This window comes from Homo sapiens, chromosome 10 (genome assembly GCF_000001405.40).
Source record: "Homo sapiens chromosome 10, GRCh38.p14 Primary Assembly".
In the NCBI taxonomy this organism is placed as follows: domain Eukaryota; kingdom Metazoa; phylum Chordata; class Mammalia; order Primates; family Hominidae; genus Homo; species Homo sapiens.
The window spans coordinates 13,475,987-13,491,136 of record NC_000010.11 but is presented as its reverse complement, the minus strand read 5'-3'; the positions used below and the strand labels follow the sequence as shown (position 1 = coordinate 13,491,136).

Sequence of the window (15,150 nt, the reverse complement as noted above, 5' to 3'; positions counted from 1 at the left end):
TTGGAAGAATAACATGCTTCTAAAGAAAAGTGAGGCCAGGCATGGTGGCTTACCCCTGTAATCCCAACACTTTGGGAGGCCAAGGTGGGCAGATCAACTGAGGTCAAGAGTTCGAGACCAGCCTGGCCAACATGGGAAAACCCGTTCTCTACTAAAAATACAAAAATTAGCTGGATGTGGTGGCACATGCCTATAGTCCTAACTACTCGGGAGGCTGAGGCATAAGAATCACTTGAACCCAGGAGGCAGAGGTTGCAGTGAGCCGAGATTACACCACTGCACTCCAACCTGGGTGACAGAGGGAGATTCCGTCTCAAAAAAAAACAAAAACAAAAAAACAAAATCATAGGATTGGGCAAGTGGCCCAGTGTTGCTAGAACAGCTGTCTGGCTGGCATTGGTAAAAGCAGGGTGGGGTGAGAGAGTGAAAGTCCAGGTGAGGCCTTCAGCCTTTATCTGTGGGCAGGAGGGAGCCATTGCAAGTTTCCAGTAAAGGAAGAATTGTGCCTGAATCTTAGAACCGTAGCTAGAACAGCATGCGGCTGACAGAAAGATAGAGATAGCCGGAGGAAGATGCATGCAGCCTGCCAGGCAGGAGATCAGGAGGGCTAGACAGGAGCAGTGAGCCTGGAGAGGAGAGCATGGAGAGACATTCAGGAGGGACACGGGGACTGAGTGGGAAGTGAGCCCCGGATTCCCATCTGGGAAACTTGCTGGGTTACAGCTGCAGCTGAGACTTCAACTGAGACGCGGAGAGCAAGAGCAGTGCAGGCTTTTCAGCTCTGGATGGGAAGGAAAAGTGAATTTCATATCCTCAACACGTTTGCTAGACACCTCGAGCACAGGAGAAAGATTAGCACTGGAAACGATGAAAAGTGACACTGGAAACCCATGCTTTATCGCTTTTGTAAATATAAAAAAGCTTACAGTGTATAGAGTTCCCTTTTTGCGTTGTGACTCGTAGTGTCACCCAAATGCCAATGTATATACCCATGGCACAAACACAAACATAAGGGCCCACAAGGGGCTGTCAATCATGGCAGATCAGCCACTGTCTTCAAACTGATAACAATAGTCCCTACTCAGATGCAGAAAAACACTAAGTTCTAATCAGAACCAACCAAAATGTCAAAAATGGCAGAGTGTTGTGAGCATCAAATGAGATAGAGTATATGGGAAAATCCTGTAGCAGTGCCTGGCACATAAAAGGTACTCAGTAAATGTTATTTGTTTAATCTGCGAAGGAGGAAACATCTGCATTTGCATTAAGCACAATATACAAAATAAACTTGGGAAACATTAAGTTTAGGACTTAGCTTTAAGGAGAGCCCCCTCCTCAATTTCACTGCAGTTTACTTGTTTTTTCCTGTTCCTCCTCTCTGTACCCACCTACTCCCCTTCAAGGCTCTACTGTGATTTGAACGATCCTCCTGGATAGAACTTCTATACTGTTTGGTAAATATACAAACAGTATATTTTGTAAATAGTTTGTAAATATACAAACAGGATACACGTTAATGCATCCTTCCACCCCAGCTTCTCAAGAGCAGAGACTGTGATTAATAATAATAATAATAATAGTAATAGTATTCATGCGCCATCTTTGAGGTATTCTTCTTATCCGCTTTCTACGGGCAGCTTGCACAAGTTCACACAGCCAAGAAAAGTGGAGTGTGTCCCGCAACCCAGGTCTGTCATCTGCCCTTGTCCACTGCGCAAAGGACTTGCGGGTGCCCATTCTAGCCCAATGCCTGTGTGTGACGAACACTCAGTCACTGTTGAGGGGATGATTATCATATGAAAGAACTGAAAGTTTCAGCTGTGGCAGTTGTTTCTTTTTACTTGGAAGTTTCTTGGGGAGAACTTCATGGGTCAGGGAGCAGGCTCTTAGGTCAGGCTGCCTGGGTTAGACTCTCAGCTGTGTGACCCTGAGCAATGAACCTGACCCCTCCCCACTCCATTTCTCTCTGTAGAATGGGGATAGCAAGTGCTTCCCTCCTGGGATTGGCCCATTGGAGGAATTAGATGAAGTCATCCCTGTGGAGCACTTAGAACAAGGCCTGGCCCATTTTAAGCACTCAATAAATATTAGTTCTTTTTTTAACCTTAGCATTCTTACCTCAGTGTCTTTATGGGAATAAATATTTTAAAATAAAACTTATCTATATCTATCAGTAAAAAAATACACGTGAACAAATAGTGTTTTTAGAAAGGGAATAGCCTGAAATATTTCTCTTTTGGGCAGGATTATTTGACCCTTTTAAAAGTAGCACATTAAATAAAATTCAAACCTCAACTATACACAGAAGCAGACACCCAAAACTAAATTTCAGATCTAAATACAGTATTTAGGCCGGGCGCGGTGGCTCACGCCTGTAATCCCAGCACTTTGGGAGGCCAAGGCGGGCGGATCAGGAGGTCAGGAGATTGAGACAGTCCTGGCCAACATGGTGAAACCCCGTCTCTACTGAAAATAAAAAAAAATAGCTAGGCGCAGTGGCGCATGCCTGTAATCCCAGCTACTTGGGAGGCTGAGGCAGGAGAATCGCTTGAACCCGGGAGTCGAAGATTGCAGTGAGCTGAGATTGCACCGCTGCACTCCAGCCTGGCGACAGAGCAAGACTCCATCTCAAAAAAAAAGAAAAAAAGAAAATACAGTATTTAATTCTTTCTTCATGAGTTCACAACCCAATACTCTACCAATACTGAGAGAAGACAGTTGTTAATTTCTTATGGTCGCTGTTTTTCAAGATTATATATATTGATTTGTGTTTTTCAGGGCAGATATACATGGCCTAAGTTTGTCTTGTTGTTGTTACTTTTCGTTTCTTGTTTTTCAGCTTGGTGAAACAATCAGATTAGTTTTTAACAATATTTTAAAATAATTTTTAATAATAGGAAATGTTTTTCTATCTGTTGTAGTTACTATAAATAGTCTCCAGTAATACTAGATTATGCCAGTTTAAAAGTTTTCAGAAGATAAATTGTGGATATTCATCAGAATATCTGTATTGGAAATCTGCTTGCTTGCTTTTTTTTTTTTTTTTTTTTGTAATTGAGACAGAGTCTCACTCTGTCGTCCAGGCTGGAGTGCAGTGGCATGATCTTGGCTCACCTCCAGGGTTCAAGCAATTCTCCTGCCTCAGCTTCCTGAGTAGCTGGGACTATGGGTGCCTGCCACCATGCCCAACTAATTTTTGTGTTTTTAGTAGAGACAGGGTTTCACCAGGTTGGCCAGGCTGGTATCGATCTCCTGGCCTCAAGTGATCCATCCGCCTCGTCCTCGCAAAGTGCTGAGATTACAGGTGTGAGCCACCATGCCCGGCCTTGAAATCTGTTTTCTTAACAACTTCTTAGCCCAATAGATAAAGTGATCCACTGGGATCAAGTAAAGAAAACCAAGCAAATGATTTTTTAAATTTACTCATTGACACATTGAAATTGAGGCCATTGGCCAGGTGCGGTGGCTCACGCCTGTAATCCTAGCACTTTGGGAGGCTGAGGCTAGTAGATCAGCTGAGATCAGGAGTTCGAGACCAGCGTGATCAACATGGAGAAACTCCATCTCTACTAAAAATATAAAATTAGCCGGGCGTGGTGGCGCATGCCTGTAATCCCAGCTACTCAGGAGGCTGAGACAGGAGAATCGCTTGAACCTGGGAGGCAGAGGTTGCGGTGAGCCAAAATCGCACCATTGTACTCCAGCCTGGGCAACAGAGCAAGACTCCGTCTCAAAAAAAAAAAAAAAAGAAAAGAAAAGAAAAGAAATTGAGGCCATGTATGCCTGAGAGTGTAAGTTCCAGCACAGGCTGCAGGAGTTCAGATCTTTGCTTCATCGTGTATTAGCTGGATAATCTTAAACAAGTTACTTCACTTCTCTGAGCCGTGGTTTTTGCAACTGCAAACTGGGGATAATAATAGTAGCCATTTCATAGGGTGAAAATCAAATTAGAAAAAATCTGTATGATATGTGTTAGCCTAGGGCATGGAATATAGTAAATAGCAAATAAATGTTAATTATATTGCTGTTTTCCAGGGCATACTGAAGTGTGTGAAATAGTCCCTGCCCTTGAAGGAGCACATGAAGGAAAATTCACAAACAGTAATTATAATAGCATAGGACGTCAGCTGTGGCGCAGGCAGTCAGGTCACCTGGGAGCCTGGATAGTCTCTCAGAGTGGACATCTTGGAGGAGCCATTTCAGTGGCCTTAGGAGAGAAGCTAAATTGCAGTGGTTAGACTCTTACATATTGTACATTTTGGCTCAAATATCTTTAGCATAAATCAAGCCCTAGTCTTCAGGGTCATTAATTTATTACCTGAAGAAGGAAAAAGCTAAAAGCATCTCTAAAAGACGGGAATGTCTCATTATGCAAGTACACGGAGAAAATTTCAAGGGACCAAATTGTATTCTCTTCTAAAATTAAATGCTTAGCTCTACCAAAATATTGTCAACTAAAAATGTCTATAAAGAATTGGCTGTTGGATGATTTCTTTTCATTTTTATCCCATTCAACATTCACTATAGGCTATCGTGTAAATTGCACCTACTTTTAGATAGGACTTTTGGCGGAGCATTTTTTGCTTAATGAAAAGAGGGCAGCCACCTTCCACTATGAGCCTTGACGTAGGACACGAGCATGCTCCTGTCCCATCCACACTGCGGCTCAGGCCCACTGTGTCCCCAGGCCACCTCTGTTCTGAGCTGCTCAACAGGAACAGCCATGCTGGTGAGCATCTAGTCCCACATGCTCTTGTGGCTACCCTCCTCATGGGCTATATTCTCAGCATAGGATTTAATAAATGACAGGCTGAGCATGTTGGCTCCCGCCTATAATCCCAGCACTTTGGGAGGCCAAGGCAGGAGGATTGCTTGAGGCCAAGAGTTGAAACCAGTCTGGGCAACAAAGCGAGACCCCCCTCTCTACAAAATATATAAATACATACATTTTAAAAATTTGCTGGGCAGGGTAGCACATGCCTGTAATCTCAGCATTTTGGCAGGCTGAGGAGGGAGGATCACTGAAGGCCAGGAATTCAAGACCAGCCTGGACAACATAGTGAGACTGTGTCTCTACGAAAAAATTTTTATTTAAATTAACTGGCCACGCACTTGTAGCCCAAGCTACTCAGGAGGTTGAGGTGAGAGGATCACTTGAACCCAGGAGCTGGAGGCTGCAGTGAGCTGTGATCCCACCACTGTACCCCAGTTTGGGCACCAGGTTGAGATCCTGTCTCTAAAAAATAAAAATAAAATTTAAAAATAGAAAATAAATGATAATAGTGATTCTTGCTATGTCCACCTGGGGCAGACCTGAGTTACAGGAACATTTAGTTTTTATCAGACAGAAGCATATCACATTTATGAACAAAATTAAATCAATTATGGGGGAGGTTTGTGTTTTAAAATTTCTTTTCTTAAACTGAAGCACATTTTCCTCAAAATACATCTAATATACTACGAAATAAACACAAGAACAAAAGATCATTGTATATAGTGGTATGGACATAGACTAAATTCACATCCTTTAAGCACTCTTATGAATCCTGTTATAGGCTTTTCAGCCCCAAATCAGTTAGTCTTGTTCAGCAGGATCCTGCCTCTTCATCTGTAGTTTTCTTTCAGCTTTTGGTCCTGAGCCAACCTGAGACTGACCAGCCAGCCCAGCCCCCCAAATCCCCACCAGCATATGACCTAGTCCAAACAGCCCTGTGCACGTGCCTGCAAAGGTGACCCTATATAATACACAGAATCTGTACACTATTAATCTGCCATTGAAAATCTGGGGTTAATGCCCAGTATGATTATTTGTGCACTTCTTTTAACCAGTGACCACATGTAGCTTTTTATGTATCTTACTGTAATTTACTTATTAATACCTTACTAATACCTTATATAAAATAGCCTATGATAGAAATAGTCCCTCGGTGGTTAACTAGCATGATCTCCTAAAAATTGTCTTACTTTGTATTCTTTCGATTATACAGGGGAGTCACGTGATGTGCTCATGGGGACTTGGGAGCCTAACGGGGCAGAGGGGTGGGGAAGGCGCATCTTCATTTACCTAGTTAGGAGATTCCCCAGCCAAACTAGATCTTAACCCCAGCTACTTCTAAGCAAAGGGAGACCACAGTTGAAATGCAAAGAAACAAATTCGTGAAAGTCCACAGGCCTGGATCCAGGACATTTTCAAGAGTGTTGGTGACTGTGTATGCAGTGTTTGCCTCCAGAACTTCACCCAGTGTGAGATGAATAAGGAAGAGTCAGCATTTGATACATTGTTGTACTAAGTGGCCAAGATGCCTAAAATAGGCAGGACATAGATGAAAATCCAAATTTATAGTAGGAATTCAGACTCCCAACTCTTAAAATCATGACTCTAAGTGTCTTAAATCCTGCCCCAACTTTAGATTGTTATTTTGAACTGTTCGTTTAGACATCATCATTTAAAAATCGTATTACTTCAGTAATCACTAAAATCTGTAAATTAACATATTCGCTTTCTACTTTGGCTTGAGTATCAAATTGTGAATCTGTCAAGAGAAGTCTAGTTTTCAAAATGATATTCATTTGGAAGAGTGTTGGTTTCTGTCATAGCTATCAGTAAGCAGAGAGATCTCATTTAAACTAGAGTCAGTAAACTAAGAGATTTCAATGATACAATTAAAGAAAGAGCTTTATCCTGTTTTTAAATATACGTACAAAGATGTGGATCATTATGTGATAGTAATCCACTGTGATTACATTTATCAAATGGAGGAAATAAAAAGATTTCTTAGTGAAAATGTGAGATTAGTGAACGTCATCTTTTCTTCATGTTTCAGAAAACAAAGCTGCCCTCTTTTGTTCTTTTAAGGCGTTGTTGCCTTGCGGCACCTGGCACACGTAGATAGCATTGGCGCTTGTTCACTCCTGGCTTAGAAATCTGAATAGGAGACAGGCCGAGAAGAACAGGAAGGACAGAGCCCAGTCACCTGTGCCCCGGCTGCCGCTGCCACCACCGCCTCCACTAATCAGACTACTTCCTCCTTTGTAAGGTGCTTGCAAAGGGGTGAGTTCATGTTCCTTGATCTGGAAAGAACAGTTCAAAATAACAGTATTTGGCAGTAGAAAGTGGAATGGAAAGCAGTGACAGCATCTGCATTGGAAGTCTCTTAGCTCTGCAGAAACTTCCAGATACTTAGTTGTTAGGAGTTGTGGCAGATACCAGAAACAGCGGCTGTACCTGTCTCCTGAATCCTACCTTCAAGATCCTGTTAAAACACTGTCCTATCCCCTCCTGAGCCCCAAGAGCCCCCTTCCTCCCGTACCCCCAGCAGCCAAGTCCTGCCTGATGCTGTCTCAGACAGCACTTGCTCTGTTCTCTCTCATGTTTTATCACGTTCGACTTTATAGGATAGGTATTTGTGCATATGTCTTGCCTGCAGAACCAGCCTTCAGATTCCTACACATGGAGGGGGCTCAGTGAGTAGGTATTGAAACAGCTGGGTCACTGTTCTCCAGGTCACCCAACTCCTGGAGGTACCACATGAACTGTTAGAAGACACAGGTGTGCTGAGCACAGCGTGGCAAACTTTCAAACCCACTTTCTTTATACAGGGATAAAAGATCTGTGAATCAACACCAGTCATTTTAAATGAATTCTTACATATTGTTTTGTTTATTCTAACAAATATCTATTGGGCAGTCAATGGGTGTTTGACACTCCAAATACAAGAGTCCTCATCCCAATGACAAATGCAAACTCCCAGCTAAGCAAATGCTGTGTGAAAAGTGCTGTAAACAGAGTTCTTAGAAACAGTATGAGCGCATGAAGAAGGGAGTGGCCAGTTCCGCCTGGTAGCTCATTCAGGTCAGTGTTTTTCAAACTGGGGTCCATGTTCACAGGATGAATCAAAGGGGAAGTCTCAGAGGTCAGCGTTTTAAGTACCTGTTTAATGGTATCAGAATCAAACTGAGATTATATAAGTAACTAGTGTCCTTCCCCTTCCTCTCTTGCCATTAAGAGTGTCTGAACCACACTAGATCCTCAAATAGCTGTGATTAGCTGCTTCTGTAAGATAAACTTGGATTTGTTTTAATGGCTTTCAAATGATACAGGAGCACTTAGCAAAAATCCAAGATCAGTTCATTTAGAACAAAAGTTCTAAATGCAGCATAGGATGTGCAAAATAAAACTCTGGTTATGAATAAAACTTCATCTTAGATTATGATGGTAAAATTCTCTCAATCCTAATAGTGTCTACATTGAATCATTCAACAAAGACATATTGAGTGCCTGGTATGTACCACCTCTGTTCTGGGATCTAGGGATGCAGCCTCCAGCTCAGACAACCTCCTCTGGAGACCTGGAACCAGCAAGCAGCAAGATGCAGAAGTTAAGGGGAAAACCTGACAGTATAGCTGTGTATGGTGATATTCACCAAACATTCAGAGACCAAACATGGAATGGCAAAGTGAAGCAGAAGTGTGAGATGACTTTCTGGATATTCCAGTTAAAAGTTCTATTTTGGAGGGACCAGGCCCAAACTCCTTCCTGTGTCATCCAAAGAATTGAAGCTATGCTCTGAGCCCTGTTTACTTTGACCATAGGTGGGGTGGCATGTTGAAAAGTGATAGGACAAAATCAAAAATAATCATTCTTACTATCCAGGAGAGAAATTCATCCCGGATCCTCACATTTCTGATGTGATTAGAAACTGCAAAGCAGGGCCAGTTTTGCAGAGTGGTGAATAGGAGATCTAAGAATCAGCTTTGATAGCATGTCTTAATTCAGTGAGGTTTTCTTCAGACTTTTTTCCTAACAACAGTTTACCAATTGCATTTCTTCATATTAAAGTTATTATTTTACAGCTACCATGTCATAACCAACAATAAACTAAATGACTTAGTAGTGCAGGTTATGACTAATGAACTTTCGTCTATTCCACAAGAAGTTATGGAGTGCCTGCTATATGCCAGATCCTAGAGATACAAAGTCTGAGCTTCAGGATCAGGGAGGGCTGCAATCTAATAAATAATTCTAATACAGTGTAAGAAATAGAATCATATGTCTGCTAAATGAACAGCAGGAACAGAGAGTTGTAGCCACCTCCATGGGCAGGAAGGAGTTAGGAGATCAGTTCATTTGGAAGGCTTTGTAAAGGAAAGGGTATGAACTGGGTTGAAAGATTCAAAGGTGAGCTGTAAACCTCCTGGCGTGCTGTTGGAGAAGGCGTGCTGAGCGCCGAGCGTGTGCGATAGCGTCCAAGTTGAAAGGCACCTTGGACGTCCTCTGATTCCGTATCCCAGTCAGGATGTCCCTGCCAGGGAAGCAGTGTGCTAGCACATTGGTTTTCCAAGAGTGATCTGGGACATAGTTTCACATTTTCCTTCCAAAATTAGGGATGGGGAGTGGATTTAAACTGCCTGGGAAACCTGCTCATCGTTTTTACTTATTTTACATATTAGTTTACAAAAGTTTTCATTGGGGAAAAAAAATATCTCTGCAGCTAAAAGCCACTGGCATAGTAGAAGGAGCCAGGGGCCTTCTGGGTTAGCCCCGTATCTGTGTCCTTAGGGGAAAGAAATTAAGTTATTTAGTGTATGAGAAAGTGATCTGTAACTGTACTGCACTGAGCACATTTGAATTATTTCTCAATCTTTTTTTTTATGATCTCTTTGGGCCTTAGTTCCTTTGTTTACAAAATGAGGATATTTCATCCAGAAGTCTCAACTCCCTGTTAGCTCTAGAATGATAGGATTTTGTGGTTGTCCAGGCTTCTCTTGGCTATTTTCTTTCCATTGCTTTTGACAAGGCTCAATATTGGAATTAGAGCATCTTGTTTCATAAGTTATAACTAGTCCTTGGTTTTATAAATAGCAGATCCTGGCAGACAAAGAAAGCCAAGAGTGTTTTCATTTGTAGGATATGTACATTTCAGTAGCTAGTGATGTTTTTTTGTTGCTCATGTACCCAAAGTCAGATGCTTCAAATCTTGCTTTTAATGAAATATCTGTGTTCTTTTGGTAGCCAGAAGTACAACTTGCTGAAGGCTTTGACGTGTTTATGCCTAAATCTCAGCTGGACTCTATATTGTCAAACTACACTCGCTCAGGAAGCCTTCTGTTTAGAAAACTGGTGTGTGCGTTTTTTGATGACAAGACTTTGGCTAACTCCTTACCCAATGGGAAGAGGAAAAGAGGACTCAATGACAACCGGAAAGGACTAGACCAAAATATTGTGGGTGCAATAAAAGGTTGGTCTGCATCATTTCATTTTGTGGGTTCTTCGTTGAGCTTTCCCTTCATTCCGTAACGATGCAGCTGAAATTGTAGTAAACTGACTAGTGGCCAGTTTCATTTGCCATTGCCAATTTAGCCATTCACATGGCTTTCGGGTGTGAGCTCTGTAATTCACCACCCCAAGTACCACTAGAATTCATTATTCAAGGTAATGTTAATTTGTTGAAATAATAATTTAAGAGCCAGTTTGACCTGCTGCAGAATCAAAAAGAAGTTTTTTCTTGACTTTTAAAATGCAGGTAATTTGTAATTTCTAAGAGCTTCCTCAGAATATGACTTCAACTTAAAGTTTGAGTTATGAGAATAAAGCTATGATGCTTCTTAAAAAAAAAAAAAAGATAAAGTAAAATGGTTCTCTCTGAAGTTTAGAGTTGCTTTACCAGGTTGTTGCTTCTAAAGACATTTTAAATCTAAGTGACCTTACTGTGACATCAAACCCTGTGCGTCCCCACACATGCCTGGCCCGCTCTTCTCCCTCTTGTTTTGTGCCGTGGAGTCATGCCAGCTCCATGCAGAGACCACCGTGGGTCTCTCCCCCTTCCCTCCTTTGAGCATGCATCTGTATTCCACTGCACTACGATGACCATGCAGGGGCACGTGGGAGCACCTCTGCATTTATATCCAGTGCCACATCCTAAACCTACTTCTCTTAACTTTAAAATGCCCATATTAAGCAATCTGATGAGTGTAACTTTAGGAAATAGAAGTACTTAGTTCTTACCAAAAAGAACATAAACCAAGTCTCAAAACTAAACACAACTCCATGAAAAATGAGACTCTGAATCAGGCCTTGCTTAAAACTGGAATAACGGATAGGGGTGCTGTGCTTCCTAGCTCAGTTCCTGCATTGTTGAGTTGTGAAGTGGGACTGACGCAGAGGGCCTTCTCTGCCCCCTTCTGTTCCCCATTATCTGGCAAAATGAGTAAATGAATTCAGTAGTGTTTAAAGGATGCTTGAAAGTCCACAATTAACTTTATAAAATAATACGGTATTTAAATGGAACTAGCAAGTACCAAGCACCCTTTGTTCATGGCCAGAAGGACATAAGCCTTCATTAACAGAGAATTTCTCATGCTCAATCAGAATTTTTTCACTTAAAGTGACAGTTGAGTTGTATTAAATATGAAAAGCTACAGAGATATCACAAACTGTGCCATTTCTGAAAAGAGTGATTCAGCCTGAAGTGACACTACAAACAACATGACAGAATTTGAAAAATGGTCAATGATGTAAGTAGGACTTCCTGAAGTGAAGAAGGGTCCCTTCTCAAAACAAGAAGGTCAAGGCTACTGGTGCTTTTCTGAAATGCAGCGAGGAATTGTTTTAATTTTCTTTTTTTTTCCCCAGGGCAGCATATTAATATTATGAAAGCATTTGGAAATTAGGGAACCATAAATGACCATAGTCCATTTTAATGACAGTAGAAGAGTCATCCTAATAATAGATAGTAAAGAAATAGATTGTGACAAGTGGATCGATGTGGGTTTCTTCTGCCATTTTCCATCTACACTAGACATGCAAGAGTTTGAAAAAGTATATTACAGGCCAGGCGCGGTGGCTCAAACCTGTAATCCCTGCACTTTGGGAGGCCGAGGTGGGTGGAACACTGCAGGTCAGCAGTTCAAGACCAGCCTGGCCAACATGGTGAAACCCCGTCTCTACTAAAAATTAAAAAAAATTAGCGGGGCATGATGATGCACACCTGTAGTCCCAGCTACTTGGGAGGCTGAGGCAGGAGAATCACTTGAACCTGGGAGGCGGAGGCTGCAGTAAGCTGAGATCGCACCATTGTACTCCAGCCTGGGCAACAGGGCCAGACTTGGTCTCAAAAAAAAAAAAAAAAAAGTATATTACAAATAGAGGACACATCTTCATTTCCTTCACTGCTGTACTCTATAAAAATGGCAAATGAGGTCTTTGCTCCCAATATATAATAAAGTAGATTATTCCAATTGAAGAACTTAAAATTCCCATACACTTTTATTATTGAATTAAATCTATTAAAATTCTGTAATAACGACCCAGTAACTTTAAAACAGATGGAAATCCCATAAGCCACCAACAACATAAATCAACAAATAGTTTATATTTATCTATTTGCAGTGTTTTTATTTGCAGTGTTTATTCATAGACATATATTTTGATTTTGATTTTTTTCCTGATTACAAAAATAATATTTATTTTAAAATGCAAATGATTTAAAATGTATTGAAAACAAAAAGGCCACCCTAATCTCACCCTTCCAAGATTATGGTATTATACATTCTTACCATTTTTATTCAAATGTGAATGTGGTATCAGATTTGACTGTTTTATAAGAAAATTCCATTCATTCTGGCTAGTCAACATTTCTACCTGACTTATTCTGATAATTTCTTGTAAGTTGCTTAAGGACACACTTTGTCTTAAATATGTTTTTATTACCTGTTGCTCTTGAAAGAGCTCAGGAGATGCTACCTTAAGAAATGCTGCTTTGGTATGCAGGTTATTTCAAATTGTGGGCACTTGGGGAACAGCAGATGCAGGGAGGGGTTCTCTCTGAACTCCCTTATCTGCCCAAAGACTGATCCTCCAAAGGGAACTCAGTTGTGAACTCCCTCCCTGGAAGTGTCATGAACCAGGGGGAATTAACTCTGATCACAGGAGAGGACACTGGAGGTGACACCACACCCAGAGAGATTTTGTCACGGGCTGTCACCTGTTCTTCTGAGGGCCCATTCATCATTCCCCAAAACCATTTTCTCTCCCCTAATTTGTCTGCTCCATCCTCCCTCCCCTCTCCCCTATAAAGAGGGTATATATGCTTCTAGATCTCACTTTTCTTTCCTGCGGTGCCCCTGTGTACCTTAAAAATGTGTACTTCTCTCCTGTTAACTTATCTGCCGTCAGTTTATTTCATAGACTTGACTGAACCCTCAGAGGGTAGAAGGAAAGTCTTCCCTACCCTGCACACATGTTGAAAGCTTCACACAGACCAGTATTTCCATAAATGCACATGGGATGAGTGAAGAGGCATAGGTTTTTATTTTTCATCTTGACTTTGACGTTAATTTATTGACATAATGGGTCTAATACTAAACATCCATCCTCACATCTTCTTGAATAACTCATCTGGAATGACTGACATTAAAACATTGTTGTAAATTTTTAACAGTTAATAAAATGCCAATGAAAGCTAAAACATAGAAACCAAAATTGAATATAAATTTGAATATAGCTCTCTTAACTTCCTAATACATTTTTCTTTACTGTATTTTCCTTCGTTAAAAGTGGGTTAACCCACACGTTACAATACGAAGCGATTTTCAGAAGTAGCTATTAATTTAAGGTCTTTTTTGTTGTTGTTGTTATTCGTAGAGATTTTTTAAAAAAAGAAATTTCCCTAACCTGAGTCTTTTGAATCTGAGTACTATGAGAAAGTGATAAAATGGTTTCTTTATACATAATAGTGCCAAGGCTATCCTTGCTATTATTACTGTCTACCACCCCTTGGAAACGATTTTGTAAATATTAAATATACAGTCTTTCTTACTTGATCTCTTGTGGGATAATGTCCCAATAGTGTATTAATTTGAAAAGTCCTATTATCTAGGAACATATGAAGACTGGCTAATTTTACAAAATCTCAGAAATGAAAATAACAGTAGGAGTTCAATTTTGTTTCAAACAAAAGTGATTATTAGAGTGGTTAAAACAACAATGGGAAAAAAATGAATGAAAATCTATAAAATGCTTATAAGTAGGAACAGAAATGGACTGAAAAAAAGTTTGGGGGATTATTAACAAAGCTTTTTGTAGTGGTAATTAATATTCCCCATGACAGTATCTTAAAAATAAAATATAAGCCTCTTTTGTAGAGATTGTATTTTTTACATAATCTTATCTGTCTTATGGTGACTAACACTTAATGATAATTTATTTAAAATATATTGATAAGTATGACTCAAGGTATTGCTGATGAAAGAGTTTTTAATTAGAAACATTCACCTAAGCATTTTGAATTTAAGAAGAAACAACTTATGATCTTACCAAGTAGAGTCTTAGGCTTTAGTGCTGGGGATAAAGCTTAGTGTCTTGGATTTGATTCAGAATTGATGTTATAACCAGAGTGGAGGTTAGTACCCAGGTATGTTTTCCTTACCTGCTGAGGCTAGAATTGGTCCACATCTAGTTCTTGCTGTGATATACTCGGTAGACCATGCAGATTAACGTGGTTAGAGTTGTCTAAATATGATAGAATCTTTGAATCCCTGAATGCTCTTCAGAAAATACAGTTGCAATAAAGCGATTTTTAGAGCCCCCGTTGTAGGATTTTTAATTCGACTTCATAGTGATGAGTTGAGAAAGTTTTATTACTATCAAACTGTCCTGGAGTCTTGAATCTTCTTGCATTCAGTGGAAATTACATAGGCACGTCAAGTGAAGACCTTGTTGGGGGTTCTTAGTTCATGCCACACAGCACAAACTGCCGCTCTCCTGAGAGGCCAGCCTTGATGGTCTGTCTGGACAGCCACAGGTATCAGAACTTCTCTGGGAGGGAACACTCCTTGTTTGGTAGCCCTCCAAAAAAATAACTGCGCTTCTTACAAGATTAGAATGGGTGCCTGGCCGCTTTTGCTGTCACACTTTCACAGGCTCTGCAGAAATGACCACCAAAACCTCTTGTTTTATTCTTGTGACTCTAGATACCTGTAGGGTCCATATTTGTCATCTTATAGTATCTCTATTTCCATTAGGATTTAATAAAAAAAAAGTGAATAGCTCTTTTCTATTTGATCTCACGTAGATTTAAATTAATACGGTTGGGGTGGAATTTGCATCGATTTATTTATTGATAGTAACTTATCTGCGTTCTCAGAACTTTT

At 40.6% G+C, this 15,150-nt stretch overlaps 1 protein-coding gene across 48 annotated transcripts in view; it reads left to right on the top strand.

Moving 5' to 3' along the window:
• The window catches only part of BEND7 (BEN domain containing 7), a 91,154-nt gene that overhangs the window by 38,498 nt on the left and 37,506 nt on the right, over positions 1–15,150 (top strand). For 40 of the 48 annotated variants that reach the window (XR_930472.2, XM_047424786.1, XM_011519393.4 and 37 more), the window contains one exon: positions 10,013–10,238. The exons of 6 other annotated variants lie outside the window; for them this stretch is intronic. Coding sequence is in view for 41 of the 42 variants with exons in the window: in XM_047424786.1 (XP_047280742.1) it covers positions 10,013–10,238 (226 nt within the window). In the remaining variant the exon portion in view is untranslated. The remainder of the gene's footprint in view (positions 1–10,012; positions 10,239–15,150) is intronic. 2 more of the 48 variants (XM_047424803.1, XM_011519412.2) reach the window with 1 other exon arrangement.